Source organism: Homo sapiens, chromosome 2, assembly GCF_000001405.40.
Source record: "Homo sapiens chromosome 2, GRCh38.p14 Primary Assembly".
NCBI lineage: Eukaryota > Metazoa > Chordata > Mammalia > Primates > Hominidae > Homo > Homo sapiens.
Window position 1 is genome coordinate 72,917,626 of NC_000002.12, and position 18,533 is coordinate 72,936,158.

The 18,533-nt window shown below is 54.2% G+C and overlaps 1 protein-coding gene across 2 annotated transcripts in view, besides 3 other annotated features; it reads left to right on the forward strand.

Annotated features, from left to right (window-relative positions):
* Nucleotides 1-109: part of a biological region, named in NCBI's record as "H3K4me1 hESC enhancer GRCh37_chr2:73144013-73144629", that runs on past the window's edge.
* Nucleotides 1-109: part of a silencer, noted in NCBI's record as "silent region_11628", that runs on past the window's edge. NCBI's record gives its function as "represses an Ori minimal core promoter by ATAC-STARR-seq in GM12878 lymphoblastoid cells {active_cell/tissue: GM12878}" and the evidence as "EXISTENCE:reporter gene assay evidence [ECO:0000049][PMID:35858748]".
* EMX1 (empty spiracles homeobox 1) overlaps nt 1-17,266 on the forward strand; it is an 18,703-nt gene extending 1,437 nt beyond the window's left edge. The window contains exons 1-3 of one of the 2 annotated variants that reach the window (NM_004097.3): nt 1-747; nt 6,684-6,868; nt 16,162-17,266. The exon at nt 1-747 is cut by the window's left edge and continues 107 nt beyond it. In NM_004097.3, coding sequence (NP_004088.2) covers nt 228-747; nt 6,684-6,868; nt 16,162-16,329 — 873 coding nt within the window. In that variant the 5' untranslated portion in view covers nt 1-227 and the 3' untranslated portion in view covers nt 16,330-17,266. The remainder of the gene's footprint in view (nt 748-6,683; nt 6,869-16,161) is intronic. The other variant, XM_011532697.4, reaches the window with a different exon arrangement.
* Nucleotides 180-299: a silencer, noted in NCBI's record as "silent region_11629". NCBI's record gives its function as "represses an Ori minimal core promoter by ATAC-STARR-seq in GM12878 lymphoblastoid cells {active_cell/tissue: GM12878}" and the evidence as "EXISTENCE:reporter gene assay evidence [ECO:0000049][PMID:35858748]".
* Nucleotides 17,267-18,533: the final 1,267 nt, after the last annotated feature.

Below are 18,533 nucleotides of genomic sequence, written 5' to 3' on the forward strand. Positions count from 1 at the left end.
AACCCTCGGGCCTTACTGGCAGCTCGCAGCCTAGCACGGAGCCCGCGCCTGTGCGGGCGCCTGGAGCTGCCCGCTCCGCCGCAGCAGCCGCCGCGCCTGGCCGTACGCTGTGGCCGGACCCCGCGGTCGCTCGCTCACACACCCCTCGCCGCTCCGCGCCTGGCTCGCCCGCGGGGGCCGAGCGCGAGCGGGCGGGCGGGGGAGGTGAGGGGTGCGGGCGGGTGTGCATGTGCCTGGCTGGGTGCACACCCCGCAAGGCGGCGGCGCCAGGACGCGGAGCGCTCCCCAGAGCCCGGCTGCCTCGCACAGCTCCCGCGGCTGCGACCATGTTCCAGCCCGCGGCCAAGCGCGGCTTTACCATAGAGTCCTTGGTGGCCAAGGACGGCGGCACCGGCGGGGGCACTGGCGGCGGGGGCGCGGGCTCCCATCTCCTGGCGGCGGCCGCCTCCGAGGAACCGCTCCGGCCCACGGCGCTCAACTACCCTCACCCCAGCGCGGCCGAGGCGGCCTTCGTGAGTGGCTTCCCTGCCGCGGCCGCCGCGGGCGCGGGCCGCTCGCTCTACGGTGGGCCCGAGCTCGTGTTCCCCGAGGCCATGAACCACCCCGCGCTGACCGTGCATCCGGCGCACCAGCTGGGCGCCTCCCCGCTGCAGCCCCCGCACTCCTTCTTCGGCGCCCAGCACCGGGACCCTCTCCATTTCTACCCCTGGGTCCTGCGGAACCGCTTCTTCGGCCACCGCTTCCAGGGTGAGTGTCCACGCTGTGCCCGCCGAGGCGGCCGGCCGGCGCCCGTGCTGCGGCGATGCGGGGGAGGCTCGGGGGCGCGCGGGGCTGTTTAGAAGTTACTGCCGGGAAGGCTGCAGGTCCGCGGAGGTAGATTCCCAGGCAGGGAAGAGCTGTGCGGCATCCACCCGCGCCTTCGCCGCGTAGGTCTCCCTCCCAGGAAAGCAGGTGGAGACCTCCAGGCTTTTCTAGAAAATATACCAGTTCGGACGCAAGCCCAGGCGCGTCCTCGGAGCCTGTGCTGGCCCTCGCCACAGCCTGCCCAATTCTCTCTCCCAGCTGAGCCAGTCTCAGACCAGAGTACAACTCCTCCCGCTCTCCCTCCGCCCGGCTTAACCTCGCACCACGCTTCTCTCGCAAGTCCACCACCACCTCCGAGACCTCAGCCTTCGCTGGCGCGTCCGGGCGGGGGAAAGTCCATTCGCGTGCCCCAGCTCTGGGGGAAGCAAGGGCAGCAGGGAGGGCGAATCGGAGAGTTAATGTTCAGTGTGGAGGGCCTGGCTGTCTTGGGATGTTTCTCGGCAACCTTGGCCCGACTTCTCCAAGTCACACGTGCCTCTCCTACCCAAGGTGGGGAAGGTTTGCAGTAAGCAAACTGGCTTCCGCCGTTGCTCGCCGCCTTCGGGAGGGAGCCCACCCGGCTGCTGGAATACCGAGGACAGTTTTCCCGGGCAGGGGGCGGGGGCAGAGGGCTTTTAAGGTCGTAGCCAGTCCGAACCCCGGAGTTTGCATCCAGCAATCGGCTTGCTAATAAAGATCCTCCACTGGCCCTACACACACACACACACACACACACACACACACACACACGTTTCAATTATTTGTCTTTCCCGGAGAAAAGAGAGTTGCATTTGTTGGAGTTCGTTTTCTTCCTTGAAATTTGTTGGAGTTTGTTTTTTTCTTTTCTTTTTTTTTAAATTTTATTTTAAAGAGTGGCCTTGATTTGTACAGGCATCACTTTAGTTTCCAGTTTTATTTTGTTAGTGTAGACCAGACCACAGCCTTGTGAGAAGGGTCTATGGCTCAGAGCTAGGTAACCCGGCTTTTAGAGAAACAAATGAAAGGGACATGGCTGGAGCTTCGGCTCCAGGAGCTAATGTGACGGTCTGTAGTCTAGGTCTACAGTCAATTAGATGTTTGGCACAGTTGTTTAGATAATAAAATGAAAATTATCTCTTGACACTTTGACTTTCACAGAAAACCGCTTTCCCAGGTCCCGATTTGTCAGGCAATTTTTTCAGTCCCACCTGGCCAATAGATGCTGACCTGGCAGATACCACAAAACCAGAGAATGTAATTACTAGAATAAGAATTGTTGTGGGTAGCCTTGCCTCCTCTTTGAAGATTTCAAAGACTTGCCCAAATCCAAATCCGAAAAAACAAAAATGCTACAATGTCATCTGCCTTGGGCAAGAGTTTCTGCCACTTAAAAATAAATGTTTACTGATAACATGAGGATATCTTTAAAATTGAGCAATCTACCCTGGTCCTCCGTGGGCTCGATCCGAAGCCTGGGTCTCGAAACCTGGCGCCCAGGGGCCGAGTTGTAGTTGGGGCGGTGTGTGAGCCCGCGGGCCGCCGCGGCCGAGGGGCTGGCGGGTTGGAGGCTTGTGGAGGGATAGGGGCTCGGAGGAGAGGGCGGGGTCGTTCCTAAGTCCTGTGGCCTCCAGCCGTTCAGCTTGTCCGGAGTCGGCATCCTGGGCCGCACCCTCGGCTTCGAATCCAGCCCCTGACGCCCTCCGCACCGCGGTTCCTGCCTCCGGGCGCCGAGGGCCGGGGGCGCCTGGAGAGAAATCCAGCTCCGGCTCTGAGCGTCTCCAGTCAGGCGAGGCGGATAAATCCTTCGCAAAACCCTCTTGGAAATTGCCGCCGCTTCCTGAGCCATCAGTCCCAGCGGGTACGTTATCGAGTAGCACAAACAGTTGGATTTTTCCCTCAAGAACCGAGTCTGGACGCGGAGATGGAGCCAAGTGTGGCTGCATTTTCGGACCCGGAAATCCGTTGGGCACTGAAGGACTTTTCGAACCCTGTAGCGCTGTTGCTTCGCGGTCCATCGTCGCCGCTGCAGACGGATGCGCTCCCCGGCGGCTCTACGCCCTCCAGTCCCGGCCAGGCCTCTGGGCTGGGAGCCGAGCCGTCTCGGGCCCTCCGGCGCCGCGTTTTCTAGAGAACCGGGTCTCAGCGATGCTCATTTCAGCCCCGTCTTAATGCAACAAACGAAACCCCACACGAACGAAAAGGAACATGTCTGCGCTCTCTGCGCAGCGCTTGGGCGGCGCGGTCCCGGCGCGCGGGGAAGCGGCGTCTCCGCTAACCGAGGCGCTGGAAGGGGAAAAGCGAATGCGGAATCGTCCAGGACTCCGAAGGTCGGGGCCGCTCGCGAGCACCGAAGGGGAGGAGCCGACGAAGACCAGGAGTGGGCCGCATTTCGGTACTGTTTCCCCGAGATCAGGAACTTTCCGGGTCTAGGAGCAACGCCTGGAGGGGGCTGTAGAGACCCAGCCCCCCGGGACCCGCAACTACAATGGGCCGGAGCTTCTAAGGTCGCCTTTGTTCTGGCAGGAGGACGGGGAATGAGGTTATCTCCGCCGCCTGTCCTGCCTCTCCCTCTCCTAGCCCTAGGGCCCTCCGCCCAGCCGTCCGGCCCTGAGCCCCTGGCCGGCGGCGGCCTCTCCAGCGAAGACTGCGGCTCGAAGACTGCAGCTCGGACCCCGGGTGCTTCGGATCCCTAGCTCCCACCTCCAGCTCCCTCATTCCTGGGAATCTCTTGTGCTAGTTCCCAGCCATTGCCTTGAAGGGGCCCTAAAAGAGTGGCTGTAGAAAAATCGGAGGGGTAGGGAAGCAGGGAGGAGAGGGGTATTCATTTCCCTAGCTCCAGGGACGGCTATACCAGTCCCTTTCCACTTTGCTAACTGTCCTAGTCCGAAACTGACAGCCCGTTCTCACAGCCCAGAATTACTGCGTCCAAACAGGCCGCACCCTAGACCCAAGTTTGTTCTGCCCTTGTGGTCCAGGCAAGGGAAACTGAACCCCTGGTAGGGGTGGTTCAGGCCTCCTTCCCACAGGTCGGGGGGCGGGGCGGTACAGGTACCTGTGCACCTAAGGCATCACCCTTGTCTTTGCAGAAACATGTAGCAATTGATCTGTTTCTCAGGATGTTTGGTGTTGTACTAAACATCCTCTTTCTAACAGGGAAACGTCCTTATTCTTTTGGAATCAAATAACCTGTCATCACTTAGCATCTTGACTCATCCTGCAGTCTCCTGCTTCTCTGTGATAGGGTTAGAAGGACCCCTGTATTTTTGCACATGCATGTGAATATACCCTTTAGGACACATGCTGTCTACCACAACTGGACATGACAATGACCTGGGGCCATTTTCTCAGTAAGGTAGACCCAAAGCAACCTAGCATCCCCCTAAAATAACCAGACTTGAGGCAAAGGGGCATGTATGTTGGTACAGAAGCTTGTTGCCTTCATCCTCTCATCTGGGTTTATAAAGACAAACACAGAGCACTCCACCACACAGGTGACTGACATATACCACATAATTACAAAATAATCACTAAGTCAGAGACACTGGGGCAGACTGCAGACCTGCTTCCTCAGCCCCACACTGCCCTTCACACCTCTGCCTCCTATTCATACACACTTACGGGGCTTTCCACACTGCAGCCTCACTTCTGACCAACCTGGGCCAGCCCAGCATCTGAGGCCAAACCCTGCCAATGCTGGGATGAGCTAGGCTTTCTCTCTCCCTCTCTGGTTCATTTGTCCAGAGGAAACCACTGTTGGGACTTCACCCAGGTTCATAACAATGTTGTTTTTTGAAGCAAGTTATTAACATTAACAAGAAGCATTTGCTTTCCACCCACCTTTCCCTGGCCTACCTCACTGGCCCCACCCCAGAGACTTTAATCTTCCTTATTCCCCACCTGGAGCAGGCTCCATATTTTTCTGCCCTTTACTCATCTCTGCCAGACCACCTCCCCTGACCATCTGTCTATTCCACTATCCCAAGTCAAACTTCTCTTCAGTCGGACCTGAGGGCCCTAGATCTGCGCCACTTGAATAATCAAATGGGGTGTCCCTCACCCATCTCCCTGTGATGTGGTCCCACCATTTTTGTGGCTGCACAGATCCAACCAGTTGAAATTGATAAGGTGACTGGAGATTATTGACTGACCCCTTCCAGGCACTAGCCCCGCAATCCTAGCAACTCTGTTCCACAGAAAACTCCAGCAAAAACTTGGCTTCTTTAGGTAACCAAAGCCCAGAGACTTGGAGGAAGTAAGGTCAGGGAGTTTCCACCAACAGAGGGACAAGAACAGTTACCTGGAGAGTTTTAGCTACAGCATCTCAATTATCTGCTTTTGATTCACTTACATAGATGTTTCCAGAGATGGGAGATGTTAACTGAATTATCCAGGTGATTGTCTTAGAGCAAAGCAACAGGTCAAATCAAGTCCAACCAGTAGCCATCTCTGAAGAAATTAATTGGATCAGTCAATCCCAACAGCTAATTCTGTCAAAATAATCCATCTAGGGTTCCGTGTTTTTGGTGCATCAGGAGGCTGTTATGTGCCCTTACATGAGAATCCATGGGTGATTTTGTCAGGGCCTGTTATGAGTCTGTTAGCATGTGCAACCAAGCCAGAGATTGTGTGAGGGCCTAGTGGGGTGTTCATTGAGACAGGCGCTGTGGGTAGAGGCTTGTTTTGGCATTGATAGTTTCTGACCCCATCTCCCCTACCCCAGCTTCATCCAGTCCAGTGTTATCCCTTCCTCCTGCATGTGGGAGCTGAGTCCCTATGCTGGCCAACATTTGCTAAGGGACAGTCACACTCTAAAAATCCTATACAGTAGATAGGAAAAAAGACAGTAGGGAGGCTGGAACATATATTTACACACGCCCATGCAGAAACCAATATATCTATATCTATATATATTAGAGAGAAAGATGACATCTAGATATTTATACACATGTTTCTTTAGCAAGGGACTATTCAGGGATGAAGCAGGGATGAAGCTTTTCCCACCAGACAGTACTTGGAGTCTCCAGTGTGTGTGTTGGGATAGGGGGTTGGGGGCTTACCCTAGAGGCTGGGTCTCTGGACCGCCAAGGCCTGGGGGAGAGAGAGGTGGAGAAAGGGGAAGAAGGAGCCTGACTTTCCACTTCCAGGTGCTGCCTGGACCACTGACCTAGCCACTGGCCTATTTATACCCCCTGCAAGACAGAGCTAGAGCGTGCTGGCAGGAGTTTTTAATGAGTTAGTAGCCTGAGCATTCAGCCGCAAGACTAGTGCAAGCAGGTGTGAAGGGATTGCTCCTTGTGTACCTTCTAGTTCTTGAATCTGTGTTTGGCAAAGGTGTGCCTAGCACCCCGCTGCTCCCCTTATCACGTTCCTGACCCCCAGCCCTGCCTCTACCCTGGGTCCTCTTGGAGGGAGATGCTTTGCGACCAGTTAACTGAAAGCAAATCGTTGGGGCTGGCGGCCAGGGCAGCGCCCCTGGGAAAGGGCGGAGAAAGAGCGCCATGGACTTTTCTTCCCCACCCCTTGGCCTCTTCCGCTGCCCCAGGCATTGTGAATGTGGGTCCACGCCTCGTCCGGCCTGCCCCATCTCTTGGCTTAACAGAGGGATCTGGAGAGCTGTTATTCCCCGCGTTCCCCCGCGGAGTGGCTCTCGAGTGCGGGGAGGTGTTGCGGAGGGGAGTGGACTTAGGGAAGGGGCGGCAAAAGGGCAAAGGGAGAAATGGCGTGTGTGTGCGTGTCAAGGAATGGAGAGGGCAGGGCGCTTGGGAGCAGGGCGCGAGGCCAGGCTCTGTTGGGCCCCGGCTCACGGCGCCCCTTCTCTCTGTCTGTACCTGCGTGTGTTGCCGTCGGCGGCGGGGCCGCAGCCAGCGACGTGCCCCAGGACGGGCTGCTTCTGCACGGCCCCTTCGCACGCAAGCCCAAGCGGATCCGCACGGCCTTCTCGCCCTCGCAGCTGCTGCGGCTGGAGCGCGCCTTCGAGAAGAACCACTACGTGGTGGGCGCCGAGCGGAAGCAGCTGGCCGGCAGTCTCAGCCTCTCCGAGACGCAGGTAATCACCCCCGGTCGCGGCCTGCCCTGCGCCCGGAGCCCGGGTGGAGGTGAGGGTGCGCGGGTGCAGGAGAGGCCCTGAGCCCGCCCCAGCCCAGCCCTGCTGGGTTCCAAAAGGCCCCCATTCCCCGCGGCGCTGCGGTCAAGCCCGTCTTTAGAGCCTCTTCCTCGAGACTGCGTGCAGCCTGCTGAGCCCGCAGGACTTTTGTCAAGCGCTAAAGACCTAGCAGGAGGCAGAGTAAATGCAAACTGTATCCCGAGCCCGGCTCCCAAAGCTCCTCACGGGGGGACCAGGTTCCCTGGAGGAAGCGGGTCGCCTCGGGAGCGGGCAGCGCAGGCAGCACCGAGGCCACTGGAGCTGGCTCCAGCCCTGGCATTCCTGCAGCCCTTTTCCCGCCACTGTGTCGGGGCGCTCATAGTCCTGCGGGGAGCCGGTCCGCACTGGCTTTGCTGCTGTTCCTGGGCAAAACTGGCGGGGCCTTGGCTGCCCACCAGCCAGGAGCGTCTGGGGAGAAAGCCCAGGTGTCCTCAGACTACCAACAGAGGGGCTTAACCAGGGAGGGGCCAGCCCCTGCTTGGGGCCCGAGGGTTGCTCTGATCCGGCCCAGGCCGGCTGATAGGGCTGTGGAAGCCACGGTGTGCGCGCGCAGAGCATCTGAGTGGCCTGGGCCTGGTGGGAAATAGACCCCGGGTACTCAGGTGCTTCTCTGAATCACTGGAAAGGCTGTCGAATGGGAGAAGGAATAAACTCCAACGGCGCCTGGGCTTGAACTGAGTGAAATTAACAATTACCGTGTAGTGTTTTTGTAACTGATCGTTAATTTAAGGGAAAAAATTAAAGAATTAGATGAAAGTTATAGGGAGGTGGATTTGGGTTCATTGTAAGTAGACTTTGCCATAAATAAATGCTGCCTGGGATCACTGCATAAGCTCTTGGTCCACCCAGGTCCGACGTGTTGGAGTGGGGCTCAGCGACCCTCAGCCTAGCTGCTGCCCTGGAGGTGGATTTCAGTCTCTGCGTGCCGGCCGGCTCCCAGAGTTGCGAGAGGCCGGCTCCGCGGTCTCCCAGCTACCTCCCGGCTGACTTTTCACCTTCCGCTCCCCTTTCCTCCTAGTCTCGACCCTACTACACCACCGTCCCCTCCCAAGTCCCGGGCAGTGAGAAGATGCCCGGCATGGGGGGCAGCCGGAGCCTCCCTTTAGCAGCCAGAGTAGGAAGGGGGCTTAGTGAGGGAGCCCAGACCCAAACTTCATCCGCAGCTTTCTTCGGCGGACCTTACCCTCTCCTCCTTCAGTGGCATTTTGGCATCTATTGTCGTCATATCTGTCTGCTGCCCCACTTAATCTACAAATCGCTCACGGGTCGGAGGCAGGACCCGTGCGTTTTCAGATGTACTAGCTGGGCTGTTCTAACTGCAGGGAAAAAGCTTACAAAACAAGAGTTAATTTTAAAAACGTTTCAAAGAAAGATGTGTTTTTAAAAATAAGTTAATAAAATAACACTCCCTTTTCCCTCCTGGCAGTGTTTTAAAATTATTGTTTGAAACAAGGTGTCAGTTTAAGAATGGTGTTTATAATTAACTTCATTTAAACAGTAATATTTATTAAATTTTAATTGCAGAACTGTAAGAAAACAAAAATGGTTTTTAATCCTACCACCCACAGATTAACACTTGTTGAAATAATGTCATTGTTTTTAAACTTTCAATTTTTTAGCTCAGTGAGAGCATTTTTAATTAACTCTCTTTCAAACTGAACCTAGCTGCCTGTCAATATTTGCTCCTAACAATGCCAGTTAGTAAACGGACTGATTGTTTCTTTCATTTTTATTATGAGACATTTCAAACATATATTTAAAACAAAACCAGATAGAATAACATAAACGTATCCTGCTTCATTAACTATCAAAACTCAGGGCTAATCTTCTTCCCGTCTGTAAATGAGCTGCTTTTTGCATATGGTACAACAAAAAGAATGAGGGGAGGTTTGAGCCTGGGGAACCTGCCGTGGCAGCCTGTCCTTCCAGGTGAAGACCCTGAGATGGAGAGATGGTTTGGACAGAGCTTCCCAGGTGGGCAAACACGATTTTAAATACCTGCCTCCCTGCTAACTTACTGTGTAACCCTGGGCAAGTCACTTAACCTCTCTGAGCTCTGGTTTCCTCATTGAGAAAATAGTTGTTTAATGATTAAAGGTACCTCATATGAGCTCAAATAATATTAATCCCCATCCCTAGTCCCTTCCCTTTAAGGTAGTATGTCAGATTAGTAGCATAAGAAGATCCAAACCTGTGTGTCCTCTTAGTCCAGCGTTCTTCCTCCCTTATGCAGTTTCCGTCATCAACATTGCCTTTCTGTTGCCCTCATAACTTATCATACGGAGCCAGGCTATATAATTAGCTACTTCTCTATCCGCCTCTTGGTACTTACCAGGCAAGCTTACCTGTCATTTCCAGCTATCAGCTATTTGTCAAGCATCAGTCACCCCCAACAGCCCCCCTGCCATGCATTTCTACTGTTAATATCTGTATCTGTCTCCAGAGCTCTCTAATCTGTCCCACCCCGTAGCTGTTTTACATCTAGCCATATACTTCTGTCTGCTCTCATTAAACTGCCTCCCCAAAACTGGCTAATTTATATTTCCGATTTTCTATTAGTTATATGTTCTTCCTAACAATAAGAACTATTTACCCATTTGTTCATTATCTTTGTCATCTATTTTACCTTCTGTGTTTCCACCATTCATCTCAAACTTCATCTCCATAGAGCTATTTCGCAACTGACAAACAGTATATTCATATGTCTGGTAATGGTTATCTATTATTGGCTCTGGCTTTGTCTTCTCTCTGGGTCTGGGCCTCAGTTTCTGTATCTGTGAGATTGAATGACACAAATTCCAGGGTTTTTTCTAGTGCTGAGTTTCTGTGACTCCTCTACATTCTACTTCTCTGTGTTTCTGTATACTACCTCCTCCACATTCTCAGAGCTCACCACACAACCCCTGCCTATCATGATATGCATCAAACTTTGTTGTTATTACTTAATTATCTGCCATGTCCAAACATCAATCTGTAGACCAGCAGTATGCGTCTCTCAGGGAGATCTTAAAATACAGATTCCTGGGTTTCACCCAGGAGATTCTCTTAGGAAGTCCAGGATAGGGTGCAGGAAAAAGTTTAAAAACAGTTATTTGGGTGATCATGATTAATAACAGGCCTGAGCATCTTAGCTCTGGGAGGCAGAGGCCAAGCCTGTCTGTTTCTTACAGGACCCAGCTCAGTGCCCGGGATGGAGTACATGCTCAATAAACATGTATTGAATTAATGAGCACATTTCTCTTTGCCCATACAAATACACACTAACTTTATCAGTCATTCCCCTTGCTCTCTGCTGTCATTGCTCCCTCCCTGTCCCTCTCCTTCTATCTTTCCCTTGTACTTTCACAGCTGATTGTTGATTTAGATTATGCATATACCAGTTTGTGGATAAAACTTCTCGGAGGGTTACTCAGATCAGTGTGTGAATGAGCTCTTAATCCAGATCTCAGAAGTCTGTGCACTCCCCAAGCTTTAGCCGGGTGCTAGGAGGTGGGCAACCTGGGTGACTCTGTGTGTTTAGTGGGAGTGGGGTATTCGTGCTGGGATGGCCAGTGCCTCAATCTAGGAGATGAGGGAAGAGCCCTGGGCAAGGGCTAGTTCTCCCTTCAGGTTCTAATGACTTGTTCCTCACTGCTTGGGTGCCGCCCTGGAGTATGACCAGGAAGGTACCAGTCTAAGCTTCAGTCCTGGTGGCTGGTTGGGCAGACCTGGGCCTGGGTCATTGCAGAGGCTCAAGTTTAATGAGTATGTGTAATGGGTGTGTGCAACATGTGTCTGCCCATGTGGGGCACCAACGGGCTTTATGTGATTGATGCCCAAAGGTCAGATGATAGCATAGGTACACATTAGATGCCATTAGGCAGTCATATGACATGGAGTGCAGCTTGCATGCTTTTGTGTGTGTTCGTGTGTGTGTCGGGGGCAGGGGTAAGTTAGTTTTAGGGGGAGTGAGAGAAAGCACCTGGTTGCTCCAGGCTGATCAACTGGTCAGTGTTTCCAGCTACTCCTTCTGCTCTGAACAGATCAGCAGGTGTTTCTTGACCTTGCCTGGGTTAGAGTTTAGCTGAGCGGTGAAGGCAAAGGGTACAGAAACGTGGCCTGTGGCTTTGAAGATTTCTTACTGAGTGATGAAGGCTAAGTGCAAAGCTTGCACATTTGTGAAACATGCACAGGAAGAATGACTAGGGTCCCCTTTGAGGTCACAGCTGTGGGCTGAGGGGTGTCAGGATAGAAACGCTTGAGAAGATGGCTCCAGGAGGCCTCAGACCTGGAAGACTTGGGGGGATGCCTAGGATCCTAGGTTGGAGGGAAAGAAGGGCAGGGTTTGAGGCAGGCAGATGAAGATAGAGCCACCATCTTGGAGCCCAAGGGCAGGGAGATCTTGGGAGGCAGGAGTTACGGTCACCTGCCTATGGCTTTTTCCCCTCAGAGGCATGGAAAGGAGGATTTGGAGGGTCCTTTCCTGCTCTGGAATGTTCTGGCCTTAGAGGGATGGATAAGAGGGGGATATCCAAGTGACCTGAATTTTAGGGAAAAATCAAGAGACATTTGTTCCTAGCTCACGGTGTGTCCACATCTCTTCTCTAAGTCTTGGCTTTTCTTCAAGAACTTCTGCATCTCATGTTCCAGGAGTCCTGTGTGGGAGGATGAGGGGGAGATAAAGGAGATTAGAGTGGTTCTGTGAGGAGCTGGGACCAACATGTCCTGAGGTGAATCTTATGATGTCTCCCTGAGAGAGACAGAGGAAGGGTCCAGGCTGGGCTGAAAGAGGAGGAGACAGGGAGGCTTAGGGAGATCATGGTTATGGTTGGTGGGGAGCTGGAGGTGACCTCAGCTTACTGAGGTGAAGGTTGAACTTAGCATGGCATTGATTGGGCTTGACCTTGAGAGTGGGAACAGCCCACATGATCAAATGATAGGAAATGGGTCCCCAGGGAAGAGAGAAAGCTGAGGGGTGACTTGACTGATATCTCCAGGCTCCTGTCCATTCTGGGATATTTGAAATCTTTGAAGACAGGACACGTATTCACCTGAAAGTGTGCAGGGGCCTGGAGCCACAGACTTTTCCATTTGCAGGAGTGGTGAAAAAGAAGGGATCCAGACCTCGTTCATTCAGAATAGCAGATTATTCCAAAGTAAAGTCTGATTAGTTCTGAAATATCGGCTGGAGCCATAGTTTGCTTGTTTGTTAGTTCATTTTTCCCTTTGTTCTTGCATGCATGTCTTCATTTATTAATGCATACATTGATCAGTCCTCTAGCAAACTGATACATTCATTCATCCATAGCAGTTTCACCTTCTTCATTCTGCCTGACTCAAGCCAACCCTTCTTCTGCCCAGCAGTAGGTGTCCCTCCTCCAACTTCCCCTAAAAGTGGCCAATCCAATTTACCATGTGGAATATTAAAAACTGGCCCTCTTGCAAAAGTGTCCACAAAACTAAGAAAAAGATCCAGTTTCTCCATCATTGAGCACTTCTCAAAGCCTTTGCTGATTAGAATTCTACCCCTCTTCTGTTCATTTTCTCCTGTTTTCCAGGTCTGGCCCAGGTACCTCTTGCCTAGAGCATAGGCTTGTCCAGCCAGATGACTATACATGGAACATGTCCTCTGGGCAGGGCACTGGGACTAACATAACAGTTTGGCTCTCCAGTCTCATAGTCTGGTGAGGAGGCAGACGTAAATAAATAAATTAGTGCACAGTGGGGGTCACTGTTACTGAGACTGGGAAGAGGTACTAAGGAACTACAGGCAGGTGATGGGGCAGGACCATTAAGGAACATCAGGACAGGGTCTTGAAGGCTAAGGAGAGTATTCCAGGGTTGGTAAGTCAGGAGAATGGAGACTTTTGGAAGGATGTGGCCTCTGAGAAACTGAGATGTTCACTTCACAGTGAAATGAGGACTTGGGAGACCACAAGGGACCTCTTGCTACAGCAGAGAGGTCAGAGTGGGCAAGGGGTCCTCCAGCTAACATTCCAACTGTACCTCGGGGCTTAGAGAGAGGTGAGTAGTGTGTTTGTGTTGGGGATGGGGAGGCATGTGCAGGACAGATCCAGCCTCCAAGCCATACCATATGACCCAGCTCCTTTCCAGGGCCTGTTTTCTCTAGGGAAGGGGCTCTGAAGGATCCAGAGTTGCCTGGCTGGGTTGGAGAGGTCATGAAATGTCACTCTCATCTCCTAATACACTCAGAGCCCAGTTCCTTTTCTTTTTCCAAGTAAAAAATAACTACCATTATCAATAATCTATTAAGGAAAATTCAGAAAAGTAGAAAGAAGAAAGAAACATCACCCACACTTTAGGTATATTTCCTTCTAGTCTTTTTTCCCCGTGTGTAGATTTTGTTTTTCTATGGTTGTGATCACACTGTGCCAGCCTTGTGCATCCTGGCGTTTCCATTAATGCTATGAAGTCATAAGCACTACCCTGTTATTGCAGTCTTTGTAAACAGCATCTGGACACTCAGCCCAAGGCTGTTCTCCGGAAGATGGCCAGGCTGCACAGGGAGAGGGTTTATGTCCCTGCCTCTAGAGAGATGCCTACTTGACCCCAGTATTTTTCATGGAGAAAATATTCAGAATCACCTTTCACTTGGGTGCCCTAGGAAGCTGCCTCTGGCCTATCCTGTGCCTGAAGTCGCCATCCAAAGCTTTCCTTCTTTGAGCCAGTGTTGCTAGTCAAGGGCAGCATGCTGGGCCCGTCCCACTACAGGCCAATGTGACCGTCAGTCTCCTTCCTGAAGGACACTTGGAAATGCATGTGGAAAGAGGAAGGTACAGAAAAGGGCCCCCGGTCCCTGGTACTGCCCGCATCACCTGACAGTCACCTTCGGCCAGCCCACTTGGGCTTCTCAGGAATGACACCCCGGCCCTGCATCTGGCCCTGAGTCACGCACAGGAGGCAGGGTGAGCTCACCCGCCCACTGACTGGCACAGTCATAGCAGGCTCCAGGGTGGGGGGCAGGGGCCAGGCTGCTGCCAAATGGTTGTGCTGAGAACCACCCAGGGTCCAGGTGGCCCTGCGCCCAAAGATAGGTGGGCTTGGAGTCCAGCAGCCTGTGCCCAGAGCCTCTGCCATCCTCCACGGCCGGCCTAGGTGAGATGTGCAGGCTATGGGCTTGGAAATGAGGGGAGAATCCCCTTGCCCTCACTCCATCCATCGAGGCCGGGCACCAACCCTTCCTGGGCCAGCTTTCCAGCCCCTGGCTGGCTGCTCTGCAGGCACTGAATGCCAGCTGCCCCCATCCCCATGCCAGTGCTCTAAAATCAGTGCTCTCAAACAAGGGCAGATGGCGCAGTGGAAGTTCTGGCAAGAGGGGACTGTGAGGGGAAGTCCTGGGGTAGGTGGGACAGAGAGGACTGCCTGGGAAGGGTGTAGGGGCAGCACCTCCTGGGCATGAAACCATCTGCAGGGCACAGGGGCCAGGCCTGCCTCTGCATGCACTGCTTGGCCTTGTGGCTAAGGCCTGTGCTTTACCCAGTTCTCTGGGAGCAGGAGCAGTCTTTCTGAGGCCTGCCCTCAGCCCTGCCCAGGGTTCAAGGATCTCTCCTCAGCATCATTGCTGCTGCCAAAACCAAGAGGCTACCCACCATTCCTCACCCGCAACTCTGCCACGCAGCACCGTCTGCACAGCTGCAGTTGGCCACATCCACTTGCTTTTAAATGTGCTGTCATTTCCTGGAAACCATCCAGGCCTTGTAGCCTGCCCTCTGCACCTCCTCCCCAAGGGGGGCCTCTGGAGCAAGAATCCAAGAGGTGCCCTGGCAGCTGCAAGTGTCCCCAGAACATTTCCTCTATGCATGAAGGACTGAAGCCCAGAGGGGGAAGGGACTTAGCTGAGAATCAGTACCCAGGATCCTCCTGCCAACGCTGAAGATGGTTTGGGTCTGGCCTGACTCTGCAAAGCCAAGTAAAGAACCACGGAGTCAGGGAGAGTTGACAGATGAAGGCTTTCTCCACAGCCCACAAGCACTAAGTCCAGTCCAGGAGCCAGGATGAGCCTCCCAGATTATGCATGAGAGGACATTAAGGGCTGTGTCCTGGACACTGAACAGATGCTGGAGGAGGAGGGAAAAGAGGCTTCCTGGAGGAGATGGCTTAGAACCATAGACCTGCCCTCTGCCTCATGCCTCCTCCATCATGGAGGATGGTTGTCCAGTTTCTGTTTGAACCCCACCCCATACCTTGCCAGGGCTCTCACTGCCAGACACAGAATAGGGGGCTCCCTGGGTTCAAAGTAGAGCTCACTTCTGTCCCCTGGGCTTCTCCTGACTGTTCCTTGTGTGACCTGTTCCCACATCTGGATGGGCTGCAGGAGCCAGTGCTGTGGGGACAGAAGGTCTGGAGCTGCCCGTGAAGGGCAGAATGCTGCCCTCAGACCCGCTTCCTCCCTGTCCTTGTCTGTCCAAGGAGAATGAGGTCTCACTGGTGGATTTCGGACTACCCTGAGGAGCTGGCACCTGAGGGACAAGGCCCCCCACCTGCCCAGCTCCAGCCTCTGATGAGGGGTGGGAGAGAGCTACATGAGGTTGCTAAGAAAGCCTCCCCTGAAGGAGACCACACAGTGTGTGAGGTTGGAGTCTCTAGCAGCGGGTTCTGTGCCCCCAGGGATAGTCTGGCTGTCCAGGCACTGCTCTTGATATAAACACCACCTCCTAGTTATGAAACCATGCCCATTCTGCCTCTCTGTATGGAAAAGAGCATGGGGCTGGCCCGTGGGGTGGTGTCCACTTTAGGCCCTGTGGGAGATCATGGGAACCCACGCAGTGGGTCATAGGCTCTCTCATTTACTACTCACATCCACTCTGTGAAGAAGCGATTATGATCTCTCCTCTAGAAACTCGTAGAGTCCCATGTCTGCCGGCTTCCAGAGCCTGCACTCCTCCACCTTGGCTTGGCTTTGCTGGGGCTAGAGGAGCTAGGATGCACAGCAGCTCTGTGACCCTTTGTTTGAGAGGAACAGGAAAACCACCCTTCTCTCTGGCCCACTGTGTCCTCTTCCTGCCCTGCCATCCCCTTCTGTGAATGTTAGACCCATGGGAGCAGCTGGTCAGAGGGGACCCCGGCCTGGGGCCCCTAACCCTATGTAGCCTCAGTCTTCCCATCAGGCTCTCAGCTCAGCCTGAGTGTTGAGGCCCCAGTGGCTGCTCTGGGGGCCTCCTGAGTTTCTCATCTGTGCCCCTCCCTCCCTGGCCCAGGTGAAGGTGTGGTTCCAGAACCGGAGGACAAAGTACAAACGGCAGAAGCTGGAGGAGGAAGGGCCTGAGTCCGAGCAGAAGAAGAAGGGCTCCCATCACATCAACCGGTGGCGCATTGCCACGAAGCAGGCCAATGGGGAGGACATCGATGTCACCTCCAATGACTAGGGTGGGCAACCACAAACCCACGAGGGCAGAGTGCTGCTTGCTGCTGGCCAGGCCCCTGCGTGGGCCCAAGCTGGACTCTGGCCACTCCCTGGCCAGGCTTTGGGGAGGCCTGGAGTCATGGCCCCACAGGGCTTGAAGCCCGGGGCCGCCATTGACAGAGGGACAAGCAATGGGCTGGCTGAGGCCTGGGACCACTTGGCCTTCTCCTCGGAGAGCCTGCCTGCCTGGGCGGGCCCGCCCGCCACCGCAGCCTCCCAGCTGCTCTCCGTGTCTCCAATCTCCCTTTTGTTTTGATGCATTTCTGTTTTAATTTATTTTCCAGGCACCACTGTAGTTTAGTGATCCCCAGTGTCCCCCTTCCCTATGGGAATAATAAAAGTCTCTCTCTTAATGACACGGGCATCCAGCTCCAGCCCCAGAGCCTGGGGTGGTAGATTCCGGCTCTGAGGGCCAGTGGGGGCTGGTAGAGCAAACGCGTTCAGGGCCTGGGAGCCTGGGGTGGGGTACTGGTGGAGGGGGTCAAGGGTAATTCATTAACTCCTCTCTTTTGTTGGGGGACCCTGGTCTCTACCTCCAGCTCCACAGCAGGAGAAACAGGCTAGACATAGGGAAGGGCCATCCTGTATCTTGAGGGAGGACAGGCCCAGGTCTTTCTTAACGTATTGAGAGGTGGGAATCAGGCCCAGGTAGTTCAATGGGAGAGGGAGAGTGCTTCCCTCTGCCTAGAGACTCTGGTGGCTTCTCCAGTTGAGGAGAAACCAGAGGAAAGGGGAGGATTGGGGTCTGGGGGAGGGAACACCATTCACAAAGGCTGACGGTTCCAGTCCGAAGTCGTGGGCCCACCAGGATGCTCACCTGTCCTTGGAGAACCGCTGGGCAGGTTGAGACTGCAGAGACAGGGCTTAAGGCTGAGCCTGCAACCAGTCCCCAGTGACTCAGGGCCTCCTCAGCCCAAGAAAGAGCAACGTGCCAGGGCCCGCTGAGCTCTTGTGTTCACCTGCCCTTCTGTTTGTCCCACTTGTCAGGATGAAGGTTTCCTGACAAGCAAATCTGCATTCCTAAGTCTTTCCCTTACGACATCCAGACCCCTCTCTTTCTTCTTCACCTCCCATGTGCTCATGAAACCTCTGCTCTTTGGCCTCCATGCCACCATTCTGCCGGTGCTAATGACAGTCACCAACCACAGTCACTGGCCACCCCCTTGTGGCCAAACTCAACCACTTCCTGTTGGGTTCACCTGCTCCCTGATCTGTTGGCTATGCCCTCCTGGATTCTCCCACCCCGCTCTGCCTTCATTTCGGTAGCTCTGACTCCTCCTTCAGCCTGAGTTCATTCAGTGTGATCCATGCCTTGTCACCTCTGGCCACCCCCAGGTCAGTCCTTGCTCTCCCTGACTCCTCATTATGTCCTTTGCCTTGTGGGGATCACATCCACTTCCAGGACTTCTCTTTGGCTCCCTGGCCTGTGTCTTTAGCTGACCTCTGCTGAGCTGCAGACCCGTCAAGCCAGCTGCCTGCTCCACCCCCTGCCCCTCAGCACCTCAAAGCCCATACATCCACAGCCGGACGCACCTACCCATCTGTGCTTCTCCAGGATCACCCACCTCGACAAACAGCATTAGACATGTACACAGTTTCCCAAGCTACAGGAAATCTGGGAATCTTCCTCAAGCTTCCTCTCCTCTTCCCCAGCCCCATCCATTCCCATCTAGTGGGTTGAGTCTAGACTGGCTTCCCAACCACACCTCCCTAATGCAGCACCCCCTACCCCCCTGCCCAGCTCCCTCTGCCACCGGCCTGGCCTGGGCCCTGCTCCTCTAGGGAGGTTTCTGTGAATGTCAAGGATGAGGTCCACTTCAAAGGAGGCCCTCCATGTTGCAGCTAGGTTTCTCTTCCTTGCACCCAAACAGGGCAGACTCACCCCCTTCTGAGCCCCTTTGCCCCATCTTCTTGCCTTGCTCCCGGTACCCTTTGCTTCAGCATCCCCATCCCTGTCCCTGAGTGAGCCACAGGTTTTCCCTGTGCTGTGCCTTCGCTCATGCTGTTCTTCCCACCTGGAATGTCGGGTGCTTGATCAATGTGGAACTCACTGGAAAGATGTCAGAGACCCAGCCTTGCTGTCTGGGCCACATGCAGGGATCCAAGCACACAAGGTCCTTCTGCTGGGAGCACAGACCCAGGTCCCACTCGCACTCTCAGCGTCTC